This window comes from Homo sapiens, chromosome 11 (assembly GCF_000001405.40).
Source record: "Homo sapiens chromosome 11, GRCh38.p14 Primary Assembly".
Classification (NCBI taxonomy): domain Eukaryota; kingdom Metazoa; phylum Chordata; class Mammalia; order Primates; family Hominidae; genus Homo; species Homo sapiens.
In genome coordinates, this window is record NC_000011.10 from 103,419,783 (window position 1) to 103,445,742 (window position 25,960).

General features: G+C 35.0%; 1 protein-coding gene across 5 annotated transcripts in view; it reads left to right on the forward strand.

The window, feature by feature from the left end:
• The window catches only part of DYNC2H1 (dynein cytoplasmic 2 heavy chain 1), a 370,438-nt gene that overhangs the window by 310,357 nt on the left and 34,121 nt on the right, over window positions 1-25,960 (forward strand). For all 5 annotated transcript variants that reach the window (NM_001080463.2, NM_001377.3, XM_017018291.2 and 2 more), the window contains one exon: window positions 16,161-16,250. In NM_001080463.2, coding sequence (NP_001073932.1) covers window positions 16,161-16,250 — 90 coding nt within the window. The remainder of the gene's footprint in view (window positions 1-16,160; window positions 16,251-25,960) is intronic.

Consider the following 25,960-nt stretch of genomic DNA (forward strand, 5'->3'; position numbering starts at 1 on the left):
AGATGGCGGAATTGACAGAAGTAGGCTTCAGAAGGTGTGTAATAACGAAATTTGCTGAGCTAAAGGAGCATGTTATAATCCAATGCAAAGAAGCTAAGAATCATGGTAAAACCATTCAGGAGCCGAGAGCCAGAATAGCCAGTTTAGAGAGGAACATAGCCAACCTGATGAAGATGAAAAACACAACACGAGAACTTCACAATGCAATCAGAAGTATCAATAGCAGAATAGACCAAGCAGAGGAAAGAATCTCAGAGCTTGAAGACTGTCTTTCTGAAACAAGACAGGCAGACAAGAATAGAGAAAAAAGAATGGAAAGGAATGAATAAAACCTCCGAGAAATATGGGGCTATGTAAAGAGACCTAACCTCTGACTGACTAGGATATCTGGAAGAGATCCATTCTGGGGAGAATGGAACCAACTTGGAAAACATATTTCAGGATATCATCCAGGAGAACTTCCCCAACCTAGCAAGACAGGCCAACATTCAAATTCAAGAAATGTAGAGAACCTTAGTAAGATACTTAACAAGAAGATCAACCCCAAGATGCATAGCAAGGCAGGCCAACATTCAAATTCAGGAAATGCAGAGAACCCTAGTAAGATACTCTACAAGAAGATCAACCCTGAGACACATAATCATCAGATTCTCCAAGGTTGAAATAAAAGAAAAAGTATTAAGGGCAGTCACAGAGAAAGGACACGTCACTCACAAAGGGAAGCCCATCAGACTAACAATAGATCTCTCAGCAGAAACCCTACAAGCCATAAGAGATTGGGGGCCAATATTCAACATTCTTAAAGAAAAGAATATTTAACCCAGAAGTTCATATCTGGCCAACCAAGCTTCATAAGCAAAGAAGAAATAAGATCCTTTTCAGACAAGTAAATGCTGAGGGAATTGGTCATCACCAGGCCTGCCTTACAAAAGCTCCTGCAGGAAGCACTAAATATAGAAATGAAAACCTGTTACCAGCCACTACAAAAACACACTGAGGAACACAGACCAGTGACACTATGGAGAAACCACATAAACAAGTATGCAAAATAACCAGCTAACATCATGGTAACAGGATGAAAGTCACACATAACAGTACTAATCTTAAAAGGAAGTGGGCTAAATGCTCCAATTAAAAGACACAGAGTGGCAAGCTGTATGAAGAACTAAGGCCCATTGGTATGCTGTCCTCGAGAGATGCACCTCACGTGCAAAGACACACATAGGCTCAAAATAAAGGCAGGGAAGAAAATTTACCAAGCAAATGGAAAACAGAAAAATGCAGGGGTTGCAATCCTAGTTTCTGACAAAACAGACTTCAAACCAACAAAGATTAAAAAAAGACAAAGAAGGACATTACATAATGGTAAAGGGCTCAATTCAACATGAAGAGCTAACTATCTCAAATAGATATGCACCCAGATTCATAAAGCAAGTTCTTAGAAACCTACAAAGAGACTTAGACTCCCACACAATAGTGGGAGACTTTAACCATTGACAATATTAGACCATCGAGGTAGAAAATTAACAAAGATATTCAGGACCTGAACTCAGCTAAGGATCAGGTGGATGTGATAGATATCTATACGACTCTCCACCCAAAAACAACAGAATATACATTCTTCTCATTGCCACATGGTACATACTATAAAATTGATCACATAATTAATTGAAATTAAAACTCTCCTCAGCAAATGCAAAAGAACTGAAATCATAACAAACGGTCTCTTAGACCACAATGCAATCAAATTAGAACTCAAGATTAAGAAATTAACTCAAAACACCACAACTACATGGGAATTGAACAACTTGCTCCTGAATGACTCTTGGGTAAATAATGAAATTAAGGTGGAAATCAAGAAATTCTTTGAAACTAATGAGAATGAAGAGACAATGTAGCAGAATCTCTGGGATGCAGCTAAAGCAGTGTTAAGCAGGAAATTTATAGTACTAAATGCCCACATCAAAAAGCTGGAAAGATCTCAAGTTAACAACCTAACATGCCAACTAAAAGAATTAGAGAACCAAGAGCAAACAAACTGCAAAGCTAGCAGAAGACAAGAAATTACCGAGATCAGAGCTGAACTTTAAAAAGCCTTTAGAAAAAAATCAAAGAATCCAAGAACTGGTTTTTTTTTTTTATAACAAAATAGACCACTAGCTAGAATAATAAAGAAGAAAAGAGAGAAGAATCTAATAAACACAATCAGAAATGATAAGGGAGATATCACAACTCATGCCACAGAAAAACACAAACAACTATCACAGAATACTATAAACACGTCTATACACATAAACCAGGCCATCTAGAAGAAATGGATAAATTCCTGGACACATACACCCTCCCAAGACTGAAGCAGGAAGAAATTGAATCCCTGAATAGACCAATAATGAATTCTGAAATTGAGGCTGTAATAAGTAGCCTACCACCAAAAGAGGCCCAGGACCAGATGGATTCACAGCTGAATTCTACCAGAGGTACAAAGAAGAGCTGGTACCGTTTCTACTGCAACTATTCCAAAAAATTGAAAAGGAAAGACTCTTCCCTAACTTATTCTATAAAGCCAACATCATGCTGACACCAAAACTTGGCAGAGACAACAAAAAAAGAAAATTTTAGGCCAATATCCTTGATGAACATCCATGTAAAAATTCTCAATAAAATACTGGCAAACCAAATCCCACAGCACATCAAAAAGCTTATCCACCGTGATCAAGTTGGCTTCATCCCTGGGATGCAAGGTTTGTTCAACATATGCGAATCAATAGATGTGTTTCATTGCATAAACAGAATGAAAGACAAAAAACACATGATTATCTCAATAGATGCACAGAAGGCCTTCTGTAAAATTCAGCATCCTATTATGTTAAAAACTCTCAATAAACTAGGTATTGAAGGAACATATCTCAGGATAGAGAGCCATATATGACAAACCCATAGTGATGTAATAATGAATGGGCAAAAGTGGGAAGTATTCCCCTTGAAAACTGGCACAAGACAAGGATGCCCTCCCTCACCACTCCTATTCAACATAGTATTGAAAGTTCTAGCCAGGGCAATTGGGAAAGAGAAAGAGATAAATGGTACTCAAATAGGAAGAGAGGAAGTCAAATTGTTTTTGTTTGCAGATGACATGATCCTATATCTAGAAAACTCCATAATCTCAACCCAAAAGCTAGGAATACCTCTGCAGGATTTTTTTGTAAGTATTGGCAATTTGAGTCTATTTTTTTTTCTTTTTGCAAAAATGCAAAGGGTCTACTGTAGACCGTTTTATGAAAACGAGAAAAAAATGGAAGGTCTTACACTTTGTGATTTCAAACATTATGAAGATATTGTCATCAAAATACTGTGGCATTGGCATAAAGCCAGATACAGAGATCAATGAAATGGAAATCAATGGAATGAAGATCAGTGGAATGGAATCCATTAATCAATGGATTGGAATGGATCAATGGAATGGAAGGAATCAGTGGAGATCAGTGGAATGGAATAAGAATCCAGATAGACCCCGAAATATATAATCAATTGATTTTCACCAATAGGCTAAGGTAATTAAATAAGAAAAGGAAAATCTCTTTAACAAATGGTACTAGAGTAATTAAATAGCCAAAAGCCAAAAAAGTAAAAAAAAAAAAAAAAAAAAAAAAAAAAAACCCTGCAACTGTGTCTCCAAAGATATACAAAAATTATCCCCAAAGTAATCATAAACATTAATAAAACTTCACTAAAATTTTTTAGTGACTTTGTGTTTGACAGTGATTTCTTAAATAGGACACCAAAAATGAACTATAAAAAGAAAAAGTGATACATTGGACTTTACCAAAATTTTAACCTTCTCTTTAAAAGACACTTATAAAAATGAAAAGCAAGCCACAGAATAGGAGAAAATAATTTCAAGACATATACTTAACAAAGGAACCTACAGCTAGATTTTTTCAAAAAACTCAATAAACATCTCAATTATAAAAATGCAAAAAAAAATTGTATAGATATTTTATTAAGACTTGTGGATGGGAAAGAAGCACATAAAAATGTAGGTGTCATTAGGAATATCAGAACTGCAATGAGAATATCAATATATAAAGATCAGTTGTATTTCTGTATAATAGCAATGAATCCTAGTATATGGCACTCACAGTACCCAAAATGAAATTAAGAACTTAATTCCACTTATAATAGCATTGAAAAGAATGAAGTAGATGGGAATAAATTTAACAAAAGGAGATCAAGACTTGTGCACTGAGAGCTACACAACATCATTGAAAGAAATTAAAGACTACTTAAGTAAATGGAAAACCATCCTTTGTTTAGGGGGAAAGGGAGAATGACTGCATGGATCCAGAGTATTTTGGGGGATTGATAAAAATATTCTGGAATTAGTGGTTATGCTTGTACAACCTTGTGAATATATTAAAACCCACTAAATCATACACTCTAGAGAGGTGACTTTGATGGTATATTAATTATATATCAGTAAAAACATTTTTTAAATCACAATGAGATAGCCCTGCACACTAGCTTGATTGGTTTATAGCTTAAATTAAAAAGCCAAATGGTACCAAGTGTTGATATGGATCAGGAACAACTTGAATTTTCAGATATTGCTGATAGTTTAGCTTTTTCTTATAAGGTTAAACATATACTTAACATATTTGCCCACTATATCACTCGTGAATATTGACCCAAGAGAAACGAAAGCATATGCCATACAAATACTTATTTGTGAATGTTCAAAGCAACTTAATTTTTAAGAGTCAAAAACTAGAAACAGCTCAACATTCAAGAGGTGAAATGATAAATTTTTGTTATATCCATAAAATTGGAGTGCTACTCAGAAATTCAAACAATGACTATTTGATTTATGCAACTACATGGATACACCCAGTGTTCTGCTGGCAAATGTTTAAAAACTGGCTCTCCAAAAAAAAAAAAAAAGAGGAGGCAACTTTGATCTATATAGCATTTTCTCATTTCCATGGTACAAATGCTCCTGCCATGACTGATTTCAAGTTACCAATATAAGGTCAATGAATGTGGAGTTAAGAAGAGATGCCTAGTAGCAAACTATTTTATAGTATTTCTTCTATCCATGTCTTCTATCCGGTATTTCTTCTGTCTTATATCCAATAGACATAATCTTGAACACAGATTTCTTGTTTTGTTTTGTAGAGACAGGGTCTCACTCTGTCACCTAGGCAGGAGTACAGTGGTACATTCCTAGCTCACTGCAACCTCCAACTCCTGAGCTCAATAGATCCTCCCACCTCAGCCTCCTGAGTAGCTAGGAGTATAGGCACATGCCCTCACACAAGGCTAATTTTTTTATTTTCTGTAGAGATGATAGGTACTCACCATGTTGGCCAGGCTGTTTTTGAACCCCTGTGGTCAAGCGATCCTCTTGCCTCAGCCTCTCAAAGTGCTGGGATTACAGGTGGCGCCACCTGGCCCAGCTTAAATAAACATCATTCTTTATTCAGGTTGCTATTACAAATTTTGATAGACTGGGTGGCTTAAACATTTATTTCTTACAGTTCTGAAGGCTGAGAAATCTAAGATCGGGTGCCAGCATGGTTGGGTTCTGATGACGGCCGCCTTCCACATTGCAGGCAGCCAACTTTTCCTTGTATCCTCATATGGTGGAAAGAGTGCAGGCTAGCTCTCTAACCTCTTATTATAAGAGCATTAATCCCATTTATGAGGGTGAAGCCTCATAACCTTCACCCTCATAACCTATTTCCTTCCAGAGGTCCCACCTCCAAATACCATTAGTGATTAGCTTTCAACAAGACGTCTGAGGGGACACAACATAATAAAAATTGTAAAATAATATGAAAAGATGAGGTTTGAATATTTGTTAACTGTTTTAAAATAACATTTAATTTATAACTTTTAAAATAATGGCTATTTAACAACGAATTTAAATAATTTATAAAATTTTAAGACTTGGCTCTCACTAGCCTTTGTGAGCTGGTTCAATCACATTACTGGATAAATCTCAAAATAATTATACATAACAAAAAAAAGAAGGTTAAAAGTTTAATATTTAAAAGTTTAATGTTTATAAATACTATATATATAAATTTCATTATATACATAATTCTAGAAAATTCAAATTAGTATGTTGTTGGGAACAGGCCCCCAAATCTGGCCATAAACTGGCCATAAACAAAATCTCTGCCAGCACTGTGACATGTACGTGATGGCCATGATGCCCACGCTGAAGGTTGTGGGTTTACCAGAATGAGGGCAATGAACACCTGGCCCACCCAGGACAGAAAATGGCTTAAGGCGTTCCTAAACCACAAACAATAGTATGAGCAATCTGTGCCTTAAAGACATGTTCCTGCTGCAGATAACTAGTCAAAGCCTATCCCTTTGTTTTGGCCCATCCCTTTGTTTCCCATAAGGAATACTTTTAGTTAATCTATAATCTATAGAAACAATGCTTATCACTGGCTTGCTGTCAGTAAATATGTGGGTAAAACTCTGTTCGAGGCTCTCAGCTCTGAAGGCTGTCAGCCCCCTGATTTCCTACTCCACACTTTATATTTCTGTGTGTGTGTCTTTAATTCCTCTAGCCTTGCTGGATTAGGATCTCCACAACCAAGCTGGTCTTAGCAGTGTGTATTAACATACTAGCAATTGTCTGTTAATTAGTTGGTGGGGGTAGGACTGATGGATTACAAATGTAAACAAACTTTTGAGAGTGAAAATATTGTCAATAATTTTTAGTTATATTTTTATTTTACCCTATACAAGTTTAAATACTATTTAGACCCTAAAATTCCATTTAATTTACTGAACATCTATGTTAGCTTGGAAGACTATATGTAAGATTTTTCAACATCCATGCACATAAACACACAAAATCTATGGCTAAACTGATGATTGTTATCTAGTTTGTGCTTCAGTTAATAGCTGGCTAATTTAGTATCAAAAATATAACAAACTAATGGGCTTGAACCCAGGTTTGTTTCACCTCAAGCATTTGATTGATTGGTCGCGTTAATGCGCAGAAATTAGTGCGACTGCCTCAGTAATTGTTTTATGTTCTAATTTATATTAATAGCCACCATACCAAGTGAAACGAACAATTACTATTGAAATATTTTTGTGCCATTTTGCATTAGTAGTTATGTTTAAATAAATTCTATATAAAAATTCATAAATGTGTTGTTTCTTGTTACGGCTCATTTAACATGGTTAGTGTGCTAAATTGTGGAAATCAAAACTCAATACTACTAGCTTTACAATGTTTATAGATCAAATGTTAACGTAAACCCACAGAGCCCATTTAACTCTACTCTTGATGTATGTTTGGTTAAAATTTTTGAGAAAATATTAATAGAAATTATAACCCCAACATGCCTACATACATACATACTTTTAACTATGGCAACATGATATTGGCCTAAATGAATGTATCACAGAAAACAATGTACAAATAATCCACAATTTTTTAAACTCTCAAGGAATGTAATAGCATGAAGACATGTCAGTAAATATTATTTCAATAAATTTCACGGAAGTAAATATACATTCAATGTAGTTTTACTAGATGAAAGAAATGTTACAGATTATCATTTTACTTGCTGAACATACTTAATGATAAACTTACCTTCGTCTTTCCCAGAGCTAAGCTTCACTATAAGTATTCCTAATGTATACCATGCTGTAGATAGTATAATCTGTTCATATTTTAAAAGACAAATACTGTCTTAGACAAATTGTCACAACAAAATACTGTAGACTAGGTAGCTTAAATAACAGACATTTCTCACAGTTCTGAAAGCTGGGAAGTCCAAGATCAAAGGGCTGGCAGATCTGGTGGTATCTGATAAAAGTTTACAGATAGCCATCTTTTCCTTGTATCTTCACACTGTGGAGGGAAGAAAGAGAAAGCAAGCCCTCTCATATCTTTTTACAAGGGCACTAATCCCACCACGAGGGGCTGCTCCATTCTCATGAGCTTATTACTTCTTAAAGGCCTTGCCTCCTAATATTATCACATTGGGGCTTAAGATTTCAACATATGCATCTTGTGGGGACACACACATTCAGTCCACAGCAAATATTAACTAAATCGCTTTTTAAAAACTGTACACATTTTGAGTAGAATTTATCATTCTCCACTGTACTAGAGTTCTTCCAAGAAACAGAACCAGATTATAATATGAATATATATAAAAATAAAAAGCATACGGAAATATATATATAAGTATATATATATAATTCAGTCTCAAATACTAATCTTTTCTGTAAACACCCTCACAGACACACCCAGAAATAACCTTTAATCTGAGGACCCTGTTAGAGTAAAACAGCTTGCTACCTGAATGGAACTCTGGGACAACAGGCATCATTAGTCAAATGGATATATGGTCTCTCTATAACATGAGCTTTTTTTTTTTTTTTCAGAATATCTGAAAGAGAGGAGTAAGGAGGAGTGTGGATAAGAAAAAGCTTGCAGTTGGATGATGTAATAAGTAACACTGAGCAAATATTTATTGCCCACCTACCATGGTCTATATCATGCGAGGCTCTGGAGATAGGAAAAATGAATAGTACATAGTCTATATTCAATGAGCTCAATATAAATAACAAAAACTATCTAACATACAGTGATGGCTAGCAAAACTTCACAGAAGGAAATTAGTAGTCTTTCTTAACCTTTTCCCAATGAAGTTTTTATTTTACTGTGACAAAATATACATGACACAAAATTTACTGTGTTAACCATTTTTAAGTATACAGTTCAGTAGTGCAAAGTACATTGACATTGCTGTACAGCTAATTTCCAGAACTCTTCATCTTGAAAAACTGAAACTCTGTCCTATTAAACAACAGCTCCCATTCACCCCTTCCCCAGCCCTTGGCAACCACCATCTACTTTCTGTCTCTGTGAATCCTGGTATTTTGGGTACCTCATTTAAGTGGAATCATAACAGTATTTGTCTTTGTGTCCCTGGCTTATCTCACTGTGTATAACGTCCTCAAGGAACATCCATGCTGTAGCATATATCAATTTTTTTTTCTTTTTTAAGGTGAATAATATTCCATTGTATGTATATGCCACATTTTGTTTATCCATTCATCCATTGATGGATGTGGGTTGTTTCCACCTTCCTAACTTTTTATAACAGTGTAATCTCTTAAGATAACAAGCATTCTATTTTTTTAATTGAAAAAATCTGGCTGGGCGCAGTGGCTCACGCCTGTAATCCTAGCACTTTGGGAGGCCAAGGCGGGCAGATCACTTGAGCCTAGGAGTTCAAGACCAGCCTGGGCAACATGGCAAAACCCCATCTCTACAAAAAATACAAAATTTAGCCAGGTATGGTGGTGGGTGCCTGTAGTTCCAGCTACTCGGGAGACTGAGGTAGGAGGATCACCTGAGCCTGGGAAGTCTAAGCTGCAGTGAGCCATGATCATGCCACTGTACTCCAGCCTGGGTGACAGAGTGAGACCCTGTCTCAAAAAAAAAACAAAAACAAAAAACCTGAGGTTAGTTTTTCATAGAAAGCAAGTAATAGAAGATCCTCTTTGAGAAGGGAAAACATAAAATAGATTCAAAAAATGATTTATGTTTTAAAAGAATCATTCAATTAAATCTTTTAGATCTGAAAGTCCTTAGTTTGCTCATGTACCATTTTATAATCCTTTTTCTGTACTGATAAAAAAAAAAATTGAATGCTACAGAAATACTGTGATGTACCCATGGAGCTGAACAAAGGTCTTGTTAAGATTAAACTACAATCTGCTCTAACTTTTATCACAAATTACTCATTGTCTGTGTTGTACTTCCTCTTAAGCATAGATAGTAAGGGCTCTCTTATTGTTAAATTGTTTCGCTCTGAAACTTGTCTTTATCCTTCTGAAATATAAATTTCTAATTATGTATGTTTGTGAAATAGGTTTTAGTTATTTCAATTAATTGCGTAGAGTTGTAAATTATGGCAAGTGTAGGAGTTAGTGATAATCTTAAATTGTATCTATTGTTAATCATTGCATATGAAGTTGAAATTACAGTGACCTCTCTGCATTTCTTCTCCTTTTCTTAAAATTGTAAACTGAGTCTTTTTTCACACATCATAAAAACCTTGTGCAACTGCTAGTGTTTGAAATAAATTGCAGTTACAGTGCTGTCTCCCTGTTTCAGGCACTGTGATAAGCTAGAATCAAATGAAAGTTCTTCTGACATTTTCAGAACCTAAAATCCAATGTTGGTTTAACTTCAATAGTCTGCAGATAATGGATTACTGGTATTGCACTCCTATTTGAGAAACAAGCTATTATTTTTACCAGTGGGATAGTGATATTTGTTAGTAGTACAAGTAATTCCATCATTAAATAGAGAAGGGAGGAAAATTCCTACAAGTGGCCATTTTTTAAGGTTCATACAATAAACATATTAAGATTCTAGAGTGGAAATTAAAACATCCACAATTGTACTAGAGTGTTTTTTTGTGCAAGTCACTTAACCTTTCTCTACATCAGTTTCCAGATATTTGAAATGGTAATAATTATACCCACTTCCGAGGGTTGTCGTAAGATATAAAAGTCTTAATGTAGATAAAATGCGTATAACAGTGCCTGTACATATAAGTGCTATACAAGTGTTTGCTATCGTTATCCTTCTTTTTCTCATTTTCACATGGTTCTTCATTGACTCACGTTTAGAATATTACCGTACATTTTTAACTCACCTCCCTGATTGCAGTTTCGTCTTCCTAATGTTGTTCTTCCCATTTCTACTAGGGTAATCCTTAAAAAAAATCCAAATTGTTGTGTCACTTCCTCGCTTAAAGGTTGATTTAGTTTTACCATTGTTTTCCAGATAAAATTTAAATTCCTTAGTATAAACCACCACAAATTTTATGATGTCATCCTTAAGTCATCAGCCCATTTCTGTCATGTCTTATTAATGCTTCTTCCTTTCCCTGCTGTCTTTACCTGACTATTATAGATACTCAGGAAAAGACTATTCATTTACCTTCTGAGACTCATTTCAAGCATGATCTCCACCAGAAAGCCTTTCCTAACTCTTGCCATTCTACGCAGTTTGAATTTGATATACTCTACCTTCGTGTTCACAATCACAGTGCTTATCGCTATTAGGGAGCTCAATTTATTGTCCATAGCCATCTCTTTTATTGTTGATTTCCCTTTCTATCATAAGCTTTTGTAGACAAGAATTGTGTTATGACTTCCTATCTTCAGCAGTTAACAAATGATTGGCAAATAGCAGCTATTTACTCATACTTGCTGCATAATCACTTAATTGAGATTTGAGAGAGAGTGAGTTAACAAATGAACACCCTGGTTACAGCCGGTTCTGCTTTTGTGACATCTTTCATGAAATGCATGGGATGGTGAAAAGAGGTTACATTTAGGGTTAGACCTGGATTCAACTTCTCTATCATTTAGTTTAAAAAAAAAAAAAAAAAACTAAAAAACTTTAAGATTAAACTTACTGTAAGCCTTAATGTCTCCATGATTATAAATTTAATTCCCAATACCTAATTATCTTACATTGAATCTCAAATGGTTTAATATGTATAAATCATTATAGAAATATTAGATCTATTAAAGACAGTATTGGTGCTGATATGGACTCTAGAGCCAAGTTACCTGGGGGTTTACATCCTGGATCTGCCATTTGCCAGCTCTGTGATTTTTGAACATGCTATTCTCTTTGTGTCTACATTTTCTCTTCTGTAAAATGGAAATTATAATATTAAGTTGGTGCAAAAGTAATTGCAGTTTTGGACCATGAATTTTAAGTTATTATATTAATAACTAGGCTCAAAGACATCTTTATTAATCAAAATAGGAACCATTACAATCAACACATTTTGCCAATAAGAAATACGTTGGTTTATTCCTGTAACATAATCTGTCCTTTGGGATTCGACAAACTCTTGAAAAGCATTTTCTGCATCCTGTTGATTGTGGAAGTGTTTTCCCTGCAAAATGTTGTTGAGATGCTTAAAGAAATGGTAGTCAGCTGGGGAGAGGTCAGGTGAATATGGTGAATGAGGCAAAACTTCGTAGCCCAATTCATTCAACTTTTGAAGTATTGGTTGTTCAACTTGTGGTGGGGCACTGTCGTAGAGAAGAATTGGGCCCTTTCTGTTGACGAATGCTGGCTGCAGGTATTGCAGTTTTTGATGCATCTCAGCTATTTGCTGAGCATACTTCTCAGATGTAATAGTTAAGCCAGGGTTCAGAACGCTGTAGTGGATCAGACCAGCCGCCGAGCACCAAACAGCAACCATGACCTTTTTTTGGTGGAAGTTGGCTTTGGGAGGTGTTTTGAAGCTTCTTCTTGATCCAGCCACTGAGCTCATCATCGCTGGTTGTCATATAAAATCCACTTTTGATTGTATATCACAATCCGACTGACAAATAGTTCATCGTTGTTACGTAGAATAAGAGAAGACAACACTTCAAAACAACGATTTTTGGTTAGCTCATGAGGCATCCTCTTATCAAGCTTTTATCACCTCTCCAATTTGATTCAAATGCTGAATGACTATAGAATGGCCGATGTTGAGTTCTTCTGCAGCTTCTCCTGTAGTTGTAAGAGGATCAGCTTGGATGATTGCTCTCAGCTGGTTGTTGTCAACTTCCGATAACTGGCCACTATGTCCTCATCTTCAAGGATCTCCTTTGCAAAACTTCTTGAACCACCACTGCACTGTATGTTCGTTAGTAGTTCCTAGGCCAAATGTGTTGTTGATGTTGCCAGTTGTCTCCACTGATTTACGACCCATTGTGAACTCAAATAAGAAAATCACTCGAATTTGCTTTTTGCCTAACATCATTTCCATGGTCTAAAATAACCATAAACAGCAAGCAATAAGTCATCAGCAAAAAAAAAATTGAGAAATGCTCATTAAAATGATGTATAACATAACTACATTTATTTAAGAATGTATTTCAATATCAAACAGCAAATTCTAACAATGTAAAAACTGCAGTTACTTTTGCACTTACCTAATAGTACACTTCTGAGGATTATTTTGAGGACTATATGAGGTGGTGTGTATCAAGCACTCACCATAGTTACTAACACATAGTAAGCACCCAATAAATATTAGCTTAAAAAAATTTCCTGCGACTCTTTTTACCTTTGTGCAAATCTAAGACAACTTTCAAGGCATAGCTTAATAGCTACCTCTTTTTTAAAGACTTCCTTGATTGAATTGTTTTTTCCCTCTAAACTCCAATAACATGATATATAATTTATTCATAAAGCACCACAAGGAACTTCAGCTTTGTATCTCCTTTATTGGTTTTTAAATTTCTTTAAATACTATATTTATTTTATTCATCTCATGTATCACTATCATTATCATTTCTATTATGTCACCTATTATGTTTTAATTCTCTACATATTTAACACTATGAAATATTTTTTATATAGGTAAATATTATCTATCTCGCTATAAAATGTAAGCTCCATAATAGCAAGGACCTTATGTTAATAGTATCTGCACATTGTAGATAGTAAATAATTGCTGAATGGATGAATAATGACTTAAACATCTATTGAATTAATGTATTACACTTGGCAATAATATTGGTAACTCTCTTAACCATCTATAGATGAATAATAAATTGCCCTAAGTCTTAGTGGCATAAAACAATAGAAATTTCTTATATCACAGTTTTTGTGGGTCTAGAATCCAAGTGTGGTTTAGCTGAGTATTCTGGCTCAGGGTTTCTCACAAGGCTCAGCTTCCAAGGTTACTCATGGGCTAGCTGTTAGTCAACTGTGAGTGAGAGGAGTGTCAAATAATTTAAGAGTCATGTTTAAAAACTGCCACAGTCTGCCCTCTAGGCAGAAATTATTTACATTTCCTCACATGCAAAATACAACCGTCTCCTCCCAGACTCCTCCACATGTTTCATTTCATTACAGGATCAGGCTAAGGCTAAAGGGATAAAATTGTCATTTAAATCAGGGGAAAGTATGGATGAGGCTTTTTGGGTTTGATTCCTCAAAAATAACCGCATAAATATTGTTCCCATCTAAAGACCAGTGAACTACAGTGACAAGTTGCCCGTTCCCTTTAAAACCAATATAAAATGGTAGGACAGGCATAGGGTAACTGCAAAGACATTCCTATTCAAAAAGGGAAGATGGAAAGGCTAACGTCCTTAGCAATTCTGAAATCCAAGGAAGTTCATGTTTCCCGTTCCTTTATTAGAATTTTGTATTGTTTCCTAGGAATGATTAATTGCTCTTGGCTTTACCTTCTGAGCGCTGGATTCTAACCTCTGAATTATCCATACATTTCAATAAGATGTAGCTCATGTTTGCAGCTGAGTGGTTTTTTCGGTCTGTTTCCTGCCCATAGAAGCCCTGGAGCCAAGTTCTCTTTGAATTGCATCCTCTCCTAACCCTGTAATCCTAAACTGATAGTTTACACCAGAACAGTTTTTCTGAAACTGGGAGTTTGCTATGAATCTCATTGAGATTCACTCCATTAGACAAAAACCACAAACAAATCTTTTCAAGATAAGCCTTTCTTTCTATCTTAGGCTTCTTTTGCATCAGCTGTGGGACAACACCCTTAAGATTTATTGAAGCCCTATTGTTTAACAGAGGGTTGTCTGAGATTTTTCCTTCCTTTTTTTTTTTTTTTAAGTCCTCAAAGCTCCATAGGCTTCCTCTAGTATTCTTCTAGAAGTCCTTTTAAGTTTTCACTTACATTCTCCTAAAGATCCCTCCAGCTTCAGCCCATCACCTAGTCTCAAGTCCAATGCCATATGATTGAGGATTTTGTTAAGGCAGCACCCTGCCTCTGGTGTATCAAAATCATTATCGGTTGTCTTGCTGCAGAACAAATCTCACCAAAACTTACTGGCTTAAAATAATGTTTTTTAAAAATCATTTATTTTTAGCTTAAAAGTGTGAAATTTACTAGGGCTTGGTAGAGAAAGCTTGTCTCCTTCACACAGCTCACTCATGGTTAGCAAGTTGGTGCCGGCTGAGAGCTGGGGGTCTCTGTTCATCTCCACATGGGCCTCTCCAAAGACAGTTTGGGCTCCACAGCATGGTAACTGGCTTCTAAGATTAAAAGTCTCGAAAGGCAGGAAATATAAGCAACCAATTTTTTATAGCCTAGACTTGGAAACTGGCATAGTATCACTTTCTCTGTATTGGAAGACAGGAGCACAGACCTCAAGTCTCAAGAGGCAAAGTGTCAAAGGATTTGCAGTTGTGTTTCAAAATCACTACACCTGTTTTAGATCAAAGCACAGTTCTGGCACTTATCTATCACATTCCTAAGAAGGCTTACTTTATTCCTGTAAAGTAAAGGGATTCGATGTTTTCTAAGGTCCTTTCTACTCTAAATTTGGTCATCTTACAATTCCCATTTTCTATACATTGTTGATATATTCTAGCCCATAGCAGCTTCTTAACTATGTAATCAGACAGTGTTTGGGGTATAAAATTGACGTTCTCTCCTTATTACCACACTTCAGAAAAATAATATGTTGAGAAGTTTGTGTGATATTTAGAAAATCCAGAAAACCTTCACCAAAAAGGTATATTATAATGAACATGACCTTACAAGAATACTTGTGAAGAGTCTGCATTAATGGTTAATGCCTTTATTGGAAGGTCAAATATTAGATAACTTTTGTAAGGCAGCTGTTCTTAGAGGGGTTTTATTTATTTTTAATTTCATGTACTCCTTTTTATTTTTTTCTGTTTGTTTCATATGTCTCCATGTGGTTGGGGAATAAAGTTTCCATTATACTGCTCTATTTATAGTTTTAAAAAATTCTGTAGGGACCAAAGCTGGTTGTTTTTTAATCTTTACCACTTATAAAATGAATTTGTCAAATTTAATTTGAGTTTCATTTGCAGTAAATATTGTTTAAGAAAACATGGTTGACTATTTTTTATATGCCAGTTTAAGTTCATCTTGTTATTCTTTCAGGAACTTGTACTTTCCTTCCTTTTAGAGAAACATTAATTCATGCTGTCTCTACTGTTCAATTTAATGAGATCAAACTTAATGAATTTCATATGTATATGTGAATTATGCCAAAATTTTTCTCCATCACACTAGTGTTAGTAGTCTTCTATATGTAGTATCATATACACAAACTTAATTTTGACCCTTTTTAAATTGCAGTGTCCTCTCGCATGGCAGAGCAAGTGGGAAGGCCCAGAAGATCCCTTACAATACCTGAGAGGTCTTGTTGCCCGTGCCCTTGCAATACAGGTATGCCTAAATTATTTACTAAGTGGGTTGTCTGACTGTGTGACTATTGTATTATAGAGATAACCATTGTGCTAATCACTAGTGAGAATTACACTATGATTTTGCACATAAAACATCATATATTCATTATTCTGCCATTTGTTATTTTTGTATAGCACTGTTCTATTTTTTTTTTTTTTTTACAAAATGTGCTTTCTGCTTTACTGTGGCTTTTCATCATTTTCGAGAATTTAGAGAAAAATTTACAATTTTAGTACAGTTGGATCACATAGACGGTAACTGACACTGAATCATCACTGTGACTAGTTTGCCTTAGGGAGCTCCCTATGGGGAGCTGCTTTAAAAAAGTTTTCTTCAAATTGATCAAGTTTTTTCAGAATAAACCAGTCAGGTAACTTCAGGAAAACAGAAGAATAATATAGACAGAGAAAGAGTGTATTTTTAAGGAATAGTAAACATGATACAGGTTAGTTGATGCAAACAAGGTACCTTTGTGGATTTTCCACTGTCTTCCTCTGCTTGTTGCACCAGCTTCACAAAAGAGCCTTTTGTTTTAACCACATTAACGTCTACTATCACATGAATAACTTGATCTTCTCAATGCAGCACTCTTCATCCATGTTTTTTAAAATAATGATCCACAAGTCTGTTCACATTTGTCATCACTCATCCCTGCTCCACCTTTGAACCCCTAAGCATACATGTTATTCTTTGACAACAGCCACATTTCATTCTCAATTTTGTATTCTCTAGACTTTCCAGTCTCTTCCTGTTCAGTTCTCTATCACTTTCTTTCCTGATTCTGGCCGATTCAGCCTTCTATTTGTGGCACATAACTATATTCTCTTTCTAGCACCTTCAGTATCCTAACTCACTTTTCTTTATGCTTCATCCTTTCCAAAAACCATTTAACTTGGATTAGTATCTGTCCATATGCAGGCTGCTGAGCGCTGCTACCGAAACTTCAGATACAGTGTACAGTGTACACTTCAGATACGGTTCAGATACAGTGGATGGGCCCTGAGCACTGCTCCTGTATTCCATAGTGATGTTCTTCACTCTTTCTTGAAGACTCCATTCTGTCACTGACTCCCCTTTTCCTTAGCAGAGCACCTTACGTTTTACTTCATAGAGAAAATTCAAGCTGTGAGATATGACCACTTGAAAATTCCTGTCCTTCTCTCTCATCTACAAATTTGTTTGAAGCCATCTTCGTCATCTTTGTTCTAATATAAAAGTTGACCTTATGAAATTGAAAGCTCATCCCTAGACCTGTGTACTGATTCTGTCTGTTCTCCTCTCTTTAGAGACCTCCTCCAGGGGGTCTTCCCTTGTTCTTCTGTCTTTTCATCTTTTCATCTCTTCTTACTCTGTTTGCCAGCCTACAATTGGGACTCCTTTGAAGGCACCAGGACTGATCTGAGCAATTGTTTGGCTTCTATTATAACCAGTTCTCTGGATTGTAGGATTGTTAAAGGAAAAAAAAGTACTAGATCTGGAAATGAGGTTAAAATTAGCAAGTAGAGAAGAATCTGGCAGGGACTCTGATTTAGTCATCTTTCTGTCTATCTGCTGTGTATATACCTGGACATAATTTATCACTAAATGCTGGAAGGAAGAAAGGGAGAAAGTCTATTAGTGATCTTAGAACAGTATAGAAATGCTCTGAAGTTTGTTGTATAATTGCATGGCTGTGATAATTTACCACTTCATGTACTTTTCAGTACTGTTTCCTTTAAATTATTTTTAAAAGGACAGGGACTTTAAACTTGCCATGAATGGTAGCCTATATTACACTATGTAAGTACACTTAATAACTATGCTGTGAGTTTATAATGATAAATATATCAGTGGTACTATAATTAATACTCTTTAAAACAATTTTACATGAATTATTGCAATTTTCTTGCATGGTTATTCATATATTAATAACTGGTCATAAAAACTGATGAAAAACTGGTCGTCAAAACTGAACACTTTTCTACTGTGTAATTTTCTTAAAAGCTTTATAAGGCATTTAACCTTAATTGTAGTGATAAAATACCCTCCTAACCCTCAAGATAATGTTCAGGACTGACCATAGCTTACCTTTCATCCTTCCAACCAGGGAATATGCACTATTTCTTCCACAACCACTTGGGGATACTTTTTACATTGTTTTATTTTCCTGGCTTAATATTTTTTTAAATTATAAATATATATAGATATCCATCTCCCTGAGGTAACCTTTAATATTTGGGATTTGCTTTTCATCTATTCAAGGGCCCGATAGATCCCTTGTTTTCATCTGTGCCTTCTCTGTTTCACAAGTACATATCCAGAGCAGCTTGTGATACTTGGAGAGCAATGTAACTACCTATTTGGAAAACAAAGGATGGGAAACTGGGTGGGCAGGGAAAATTAGAAGCACTATTTGCAAGGATCTGTGAAAATGGCACCTTTTGGTTTCTTAAGAAAGCATAATGATCAGACTCAATCCAAACAGGTATACAGCAGGTTGAGCCCAGATCCAGCTATAGTTTAAGATTTTAGGGTCTTGCATTTTGAGGCATAGTTTATGGGAAAAGAGAACAAACTATTGAGGGTGTCATATATCATGCCAGTTTATTACAGGGGTTCTGTGCAAATAAGGTAAGACTGACTTGGGTCAAAGGTAGCATTCATTTATTCAGTCATTCATTCAGTCAAAAATATAATAAGCAGCTACTTTATTCTAGACCCTGTGTGAAGTACTGGAGATATCAGGATTAGTAAGTAGATACAATAACTGCCTCACAGATCTTATCTTCATTCATTTATCATTTTATCAATAAAAGTTCTATAAATGTAAGCTGGGCACAGTGGCATGTGTCTATAGTTCCAGTGACTCAGGAGACTAAGGCAAGAGGATCGCTTGAGCCCAAGAGTTCAAGTCCAGCCTGGGCAACAATGAGACCTCGCCTCTTAAAAAAAAGATAATTCCGCAAATGTGATTAATACTTTCCTGGTGCCAAACACTGTGTGAGGTTGCTGAATATAGAGTGGTAAACAAAATAGACATACATCTTGTTCTCCAGGAACTATCCTTACAACTTATCAGAAAGATAGAACTGAATAAACAACAGTAAGAGAAGAGTGATAAAGGAAGTACAGTATTATGGAAGCAAATAGCACTATTTAACCTAGAAGGGGTCAGAGAAGTGCTGCCTAAGCTGGGAACTTAGTAGGAATAAACCAGATGAGGATGAGACGAAAGAATGTATCAGACAGAAGGCAGACCAGAGTCTGATATCAAGAGTAAGTATTGTGTTATACCAAAGTTATTGAAATTTTGTAAAAAAAATTAATAAAAAGTAAGCATTGTGGTTTTCAAGTAACTAAAAGCAAAGCATAGATTGCAAGGAGGGGTGTTCAGGCTGGAGGGCAAGAGGGGCCAAATCATGATAATGTATTAAGGAATTATATTTTATCCTAAGGACAAAAGGTAACCATTGCAGCATTTTAAGAAGGAAAGTCAGATTATGTTTTAAAGGGACTGTTTTAGCTGCAGTATGGAGAGAGTCTTAGTCTACTTTGTGGCAAAAGGTTTAAGACTCCTCTGAATACTCTTAATTTAGAGCTATAGATCCCCTAGGTATCCAAGGAACCTGAGCCACAGAGAGTCTTGCAGGCAGCCTTGCATTCACTCTCTGGTTTCTGTAAGATCCTTTAGAGCAAAGATCTTAAAAAAAAAATTCCACTATATTTCCAATACCTATATACTGTCTGCTGAATGAATGAATGAACAAAGGAATTAACAAATGAATGGACTGGACAGATTACTCTCTTTGGGGAACTTAGAATTATTTCCCTGGCTTCAAATTTTTCTGTCTTTTCTTCAGAAATAACATCTTCAAAGAGTTTCTTGTGTTCCTGATTTCCACTCTGTGTTTTCCCTTTGGCTTGTAGCGTATCCCTTACAGCAGTATATTCTGATTCTTCTGTGATGATCATTCTAAATTCTAGCGTGTTCTCTACCCTGTTTGTAAATCTTACATTGTCAGCTTTGGTTTGGTTCCTTTATCCTAGTTTTCTCAACTACTCATAGTTGGATCCCTTGACCGTACACCTGTAATTTTTATTCCAGCCTTGCTCATGTGTTGATTTCTATATCCAAGCCAGGATATAGAGAGAGATCTTTATCACCATCAGCTAGTTATACTTGGTTATGCTAAATAGACCCAATATTCTAAGAAATGTTTAATGGACTCCTAAATATCTCCCCCATTATGCTTCCATTGGAAAGCAAACTTGGAGTGCTGTGTGTTAAATTAGCATTAAGGTTTGCCATTAATACTTACAGTTCATTTTAAACTTCTGCTTCAGTTTCATGTCTTTAGTTTTAAGATCCACAGTGACGACTTGAACTCCACTCAGTTTTTTTGCTGAACTCAAGCCAGTGGCTGGTACGTTGCTCTACTACCAAATCCTGCCACCCTTCATTCTTATGACAGAATTTTGTTGTTTATATCAACTATTAAGCACCTTGAAGTTTGGGGAGATCTAAGCAATAAATAGCATTAATTATTGTTATTAGTAAATACCACTTAGCATGACATATAGACTATCATTAAAGCTTATCAGGAAAATAGACAACTAAATAAGCAATAACAACAAATCATTAAAGGAAGTATTTGAGCAAATAGCAGAAGTACTACAATCTAGAACCACTTAGTGTTATCCCCTGTTCCCCAGCGGGTAGTTCAGTCTAAAATTTTTGGAATCATTGTTTACTTCTCTCCTCTCACACTTTATATCCAGTCTACCAGAAAGTCATATTTTCTCTGCATTCAAAATACATTGAGGTACCTTTTACTATCCGTACTACCACTACCTCGATTGAAGTCATTGTGAATGCAGCCACTATCTAACTAGAGTCCTGCTTCCACCCTTGTTCCCATTCTTATTGGTTCTCAACCACACAATCTCAAATGTTCTGGTGTTAAAGCACAGCTCAGATTACATCACTCTTCTCTTGGAAATATCCCCATGACTAGTCATCTTGAGTATCAAAATCCTTACACATCCTACAAGTTTCTTTAAGGTGAAGCCCCATTATCTCTCTGCTTTTCGTTCCCAGTTTTCTACCTCATTTACTCTGTTCTAGCCATACTGGTCTTGCTTTTCAGTGAACAAACCCAGCTCGCTCCCTCTCATGGCCTTTACCCTTGCTGCTTCCTCTCCTTGGAATGCTCTCCCCGGGATATGTGCAAGGAAGCTTCCTTACCTCCTTCAGGTCTTTGCTCAAATGTCACTTTTTCAGTGAGGCCTTCCCTGACCATCCTGTTTCGAATGTAACCCCCGCACTCCCCCCTCCAATACTTCTTACTCTCTTTTCCATCTTTATTTTTCTCTGTGGCCTATATCTTAGTCTAATACTCTGTATATTATAATCTATTTATTTTTAAAAGTTTCTATGTATTCTGCCACTAAAAAGAAAGCTTCATAAGGGCAGAGATTTTTGTCTGTTTACTGCCCCATCCAAGCATGTAGACAGTAACTTGTACAAATAGGCTTTTCAGTAAATATTTGTTGAATAAATAAATGACTCCAATCATAAGGTTATTTACTCTCAAGCAAATTGGCATAAATCTCTTTTTTCCAATCATCAAGATTTAGCTTCCTGAGATATATTCTGTAGTATTTCATTATCTATTTTGAGATTTTTGGCTTCTATCTAAATCTACCCATAAATATTATGGTTTAACTTTATATTTCCACAATCTATCATTTGAAGTGTTTTATTTTTCTTAAGATCTCAAATGTAAAAAGCAATTTATTATAATTACATTGTTAGGTTTTCACTCATTTTTTGAGGTGTCTTACTGTATTTTGGAAGGTTCTGCTACCATATTCTGCATTTCTGGAAGAGTGTATTATTTTCCTAACTCATCTTAGTAACTTTCCTAGTCCTTGGTACGGTGTTTCACACACAGCAAGTACTCAGTAAAATTATTCATAGAAGACTTATATAAATAAACAAAGTTGAAAAAGTCTATATGTGGCTTTAAAACCTCCAGCATCCCCATTTTTGTATATTATACCCAGAAGAGAAACCTGTGGATGTTTTTTATTCATATATATGAATAAGTATATATTTATCAGTTTATTCATTCGGTGAATATTTATTGAGCTTCTATTATATGCCAGCCACTGTTCTTAAGTCGTAGAAATACACTGTAGTGAGAAAACATGAAATTCCTGTGAACAGGAATTACTGCATTTTAGTGAAGGAGATAGATAGCAAACAAATAAATATGTTAATATTAGAATTACATCAAAATCTTGAAATTAAAGATTAATATATGGCCAAGCTTTAAGTTGGGTTATCACCATCACAGTATGAACTTAGGGTATATATCTGAAATTTTATTCAGAAAAATAAAGCTTTTACTATAGCAATAGTATTACAAAATGTTGAGTCAAATTTTGCACAGGGACAGTAATTTCTCAGCAGTAACAGCTGATAAATCCTTCGTATGGCCAACTATCTTGCACATTTGGAATACTAAACAGTACTCTATGGTCTACAATGATATGCAGTTTTACAGAAGCAATCTTACAAAACATGCTATTTGTACTGCTTGCAGAAGATAAATCTTGGTTCTAGAAATTTGACAGTATAGCAACATAATTGGCTTTGAAGATAACAAAATCTTTCCCGAATTTCTATCTGCATTGCACCTTTCATCACATGCATACCAATTTTAGCAGCTTCCTGGAGTAGAATAAGAGTATCTTTACAGCAGAAAACATGCAGAGAATAAACTCTTATGACAAATTTGGTTTCTTGAAGAATCAGCAAGGTCCAGCAAACAATTTTTCCCTGCATGTAACCAGTGATTGTTAGTAATATCTCCTATGCTGGTACCCTTACTTGCAAAATATCATTTCAATGCTTCCCTTGATTTATGAGCCCTTTTTTTTTTTTTGCCATTTAAAGGCTTCTCTTAATCTTGTTTGAACATACGTTATTAATATATAACAAAAGAGTTGCTAAATGTCTTGTATGCCATATACTTTTATTTTTGGTAAAGAAGAAGAAATGATTGACAGTTTTTCTGCTGTTGTCAATAAATCCCAGCTATCAAAATTTTTTATTATTTCTGAAGATACAATGGAAGGTTGTGAACAAAACATTGTGTACTTGTGATTCCTAAATCAATCATAGCCTTCACCACATTTGTTCCACTGTCAATAATTGCATTATGCTTTATTTGCTGATTTTCCATTCTCTATTATCTATCAGCTTTACTTTGTTGTTAGCTATTTGCAACTGGAAATCTCTTCACAAGCAAGGAAAGTAGTGATTGGTTTTATTGTTAATTTATATGTTATCACACTTTAAAAGGACTTTGGGCTGTATATTATATTATTTATCTATTTGTCTGTTATACATAATATTGAAGTAGACTATTGAGTGTTTGGCTTAATACTACCAATAATACTAACTGTTGTATACAATAAAAATAATTTAAGAAAATATTTTTTAGTAATATATATTCTAGAAAGAATCTTGAACATAAGACTCATAGCTTAGCAAGCCTCAGAACTCCTTTTACTTCATCTCCTGAAAATTATTGGTAATCTATGTCAGTGATTTTGACAAGTTTTTTTTTTAACCTCCATAGATTCAAAACCTCAACAGGAAATTGTTCCTAAATATTATTTTTGATGTCTGCAGTTCTGAAATTTGATAAGTGAGAAAATATTATGTGTACCTAGTTTTTATTTTTTTCTCTCCTTTGTCTTTTATTTTTATGTCTGGATTGAAGATGATTTATATTGGATATTTTTAAAATATTTGACTTTTTCTCCTTGAGAAATTTTGAGATAGCAAAGTTGTTATTCCATTATTATTTGGTCCTCACAAAATGGGAAATATTTCCACATAACTCTTCCTCTTAAAAGACTCATGGAACAAAGTAACTTACGATTAAATTTTGTTACATGTTATTTAATTTTGAAAATGTCAGTATATTGAATAATTCCTCAAAGATCTGGATTTCAGGACTGTCTTGATACATATATTTTTGTATTAGTTAAATTTTTATTAATATTTCTTGACTAAAATGTTTCCAGCTTTTTAATATTTATCTTGCTATTATAATCTAATATTTATATTAATTATCAATCTATTTCTTGAACCATAAGTTCTGAAATCTTTAACATAAAAATAACAATTTTTATAATAATTATTCTTTAAATTCTTCTCTTGCTATACTAAACACATAGTAATGATTCAGACTAAGATAATTTCAACCTATAGAGCACATAAGGGGTTTTCATTCAAGTAGCATATAGTGAATATTTTTAAATAAATCTAAATGTCATGCCTTGTTGACAGTACTAACATTGTTACACTTATTAAATAAGGTAGTAACATCTGTCCTTATACAAATATTAATATTATATATTTCCGGGATGTCAGAACAGTGTTAAAGTAAGCATCTGTTTGTTAAGCCTACCAGAAGGTAAAAGGCAAATAACAGATCCTGGCCAAATATTGAAAATGAATTAAACTTTATTTCTAATACATATAAGGATGCTGTAAAGCAAAATGATGTAGATTAAGGGGGCTAGAGACAAGTGGGTTGGGGAAGGTAACACTTTAGTATGTATGGTCAGGGAAAGCCTGTCTTTGGAGGTGATATTTAAACAGAGACTTGAATAAAGTAAGAGAGCAAACCTTAAAATGTATCTGAGGGAAAAACAAATCCAGGTAGAGAGATCAGTAAGTACAGAATCTCTGAGACAGGAATGTGCTTTGCTTGTTCAAGGAATGAAAGTTTTACTGGAAATAAGGTTGAATGGGTGGCCAAGGACCATTATGTATGAGTCCATGTAGGCTTGGTAAGAAATTTAAATTTAGTCTGAGTACATGGGAGGTCAGTAGAAGATTGAGAGCAAAAGATTAAAAGGTGATTCCGCTGGTATATGAATAAGCTATAGGGAGGAAAAATAGGAGCAGCCTGACCAGTTAAGAGGTTATTGCTTTCAAAAAGCATACAAGTAGTTGCATCTCTTCTCAAATACCGAATGAATAAATACATTTTGTACATTCAAATAAATAATGCCTGTAAAATTCACTTTCTGCTTTCAAATATCTTGATGGAATGTAATGATTTCATAAAAACGAACTAGTTGAGGAAATTATCTTCAAGATTATGGATAGTCACATAAATATTTGAAAGACTTTATTTTTCATTCTGCAGATGTTTCAGCATTTAGTATATGAAACTATCTTTGTATAGACCTATATTTGCTATTATCTATGGACATTTGGGGCTTCTTTCTATGCCCATCTTAAAGTATGATTTTATTCTGGGATTATCTTTATATATTCTTTTTAATCTCTTTTTACTTATGTAGAGATTTGAATATTAATGTGAGTAAACAACTGACTTGCTTCGGAAAAAAAGAGGTTATTGCAGTAATCCAAGTGAGGTTATGATGGACTAGGGTGGTAGCTGTGTATTATGGACTAGGGTGGTGGCTGTGGAGGTGGAGGCTTCTTAAAGAAGTGGTCATATTTTCATATTAAACTTGTGGATTTGGCTATGGGGCATGGGAGAGAGATATCAAACGTGATTTCAAAGTTTTGTTGTTGTTGTTTTTTGAGACGGAGTCTCGCTCTGTTGCCCAGGCTGGGGTGCAGTGGCTCGATCTCAGCTCATTGCAAGCTCTGCCTC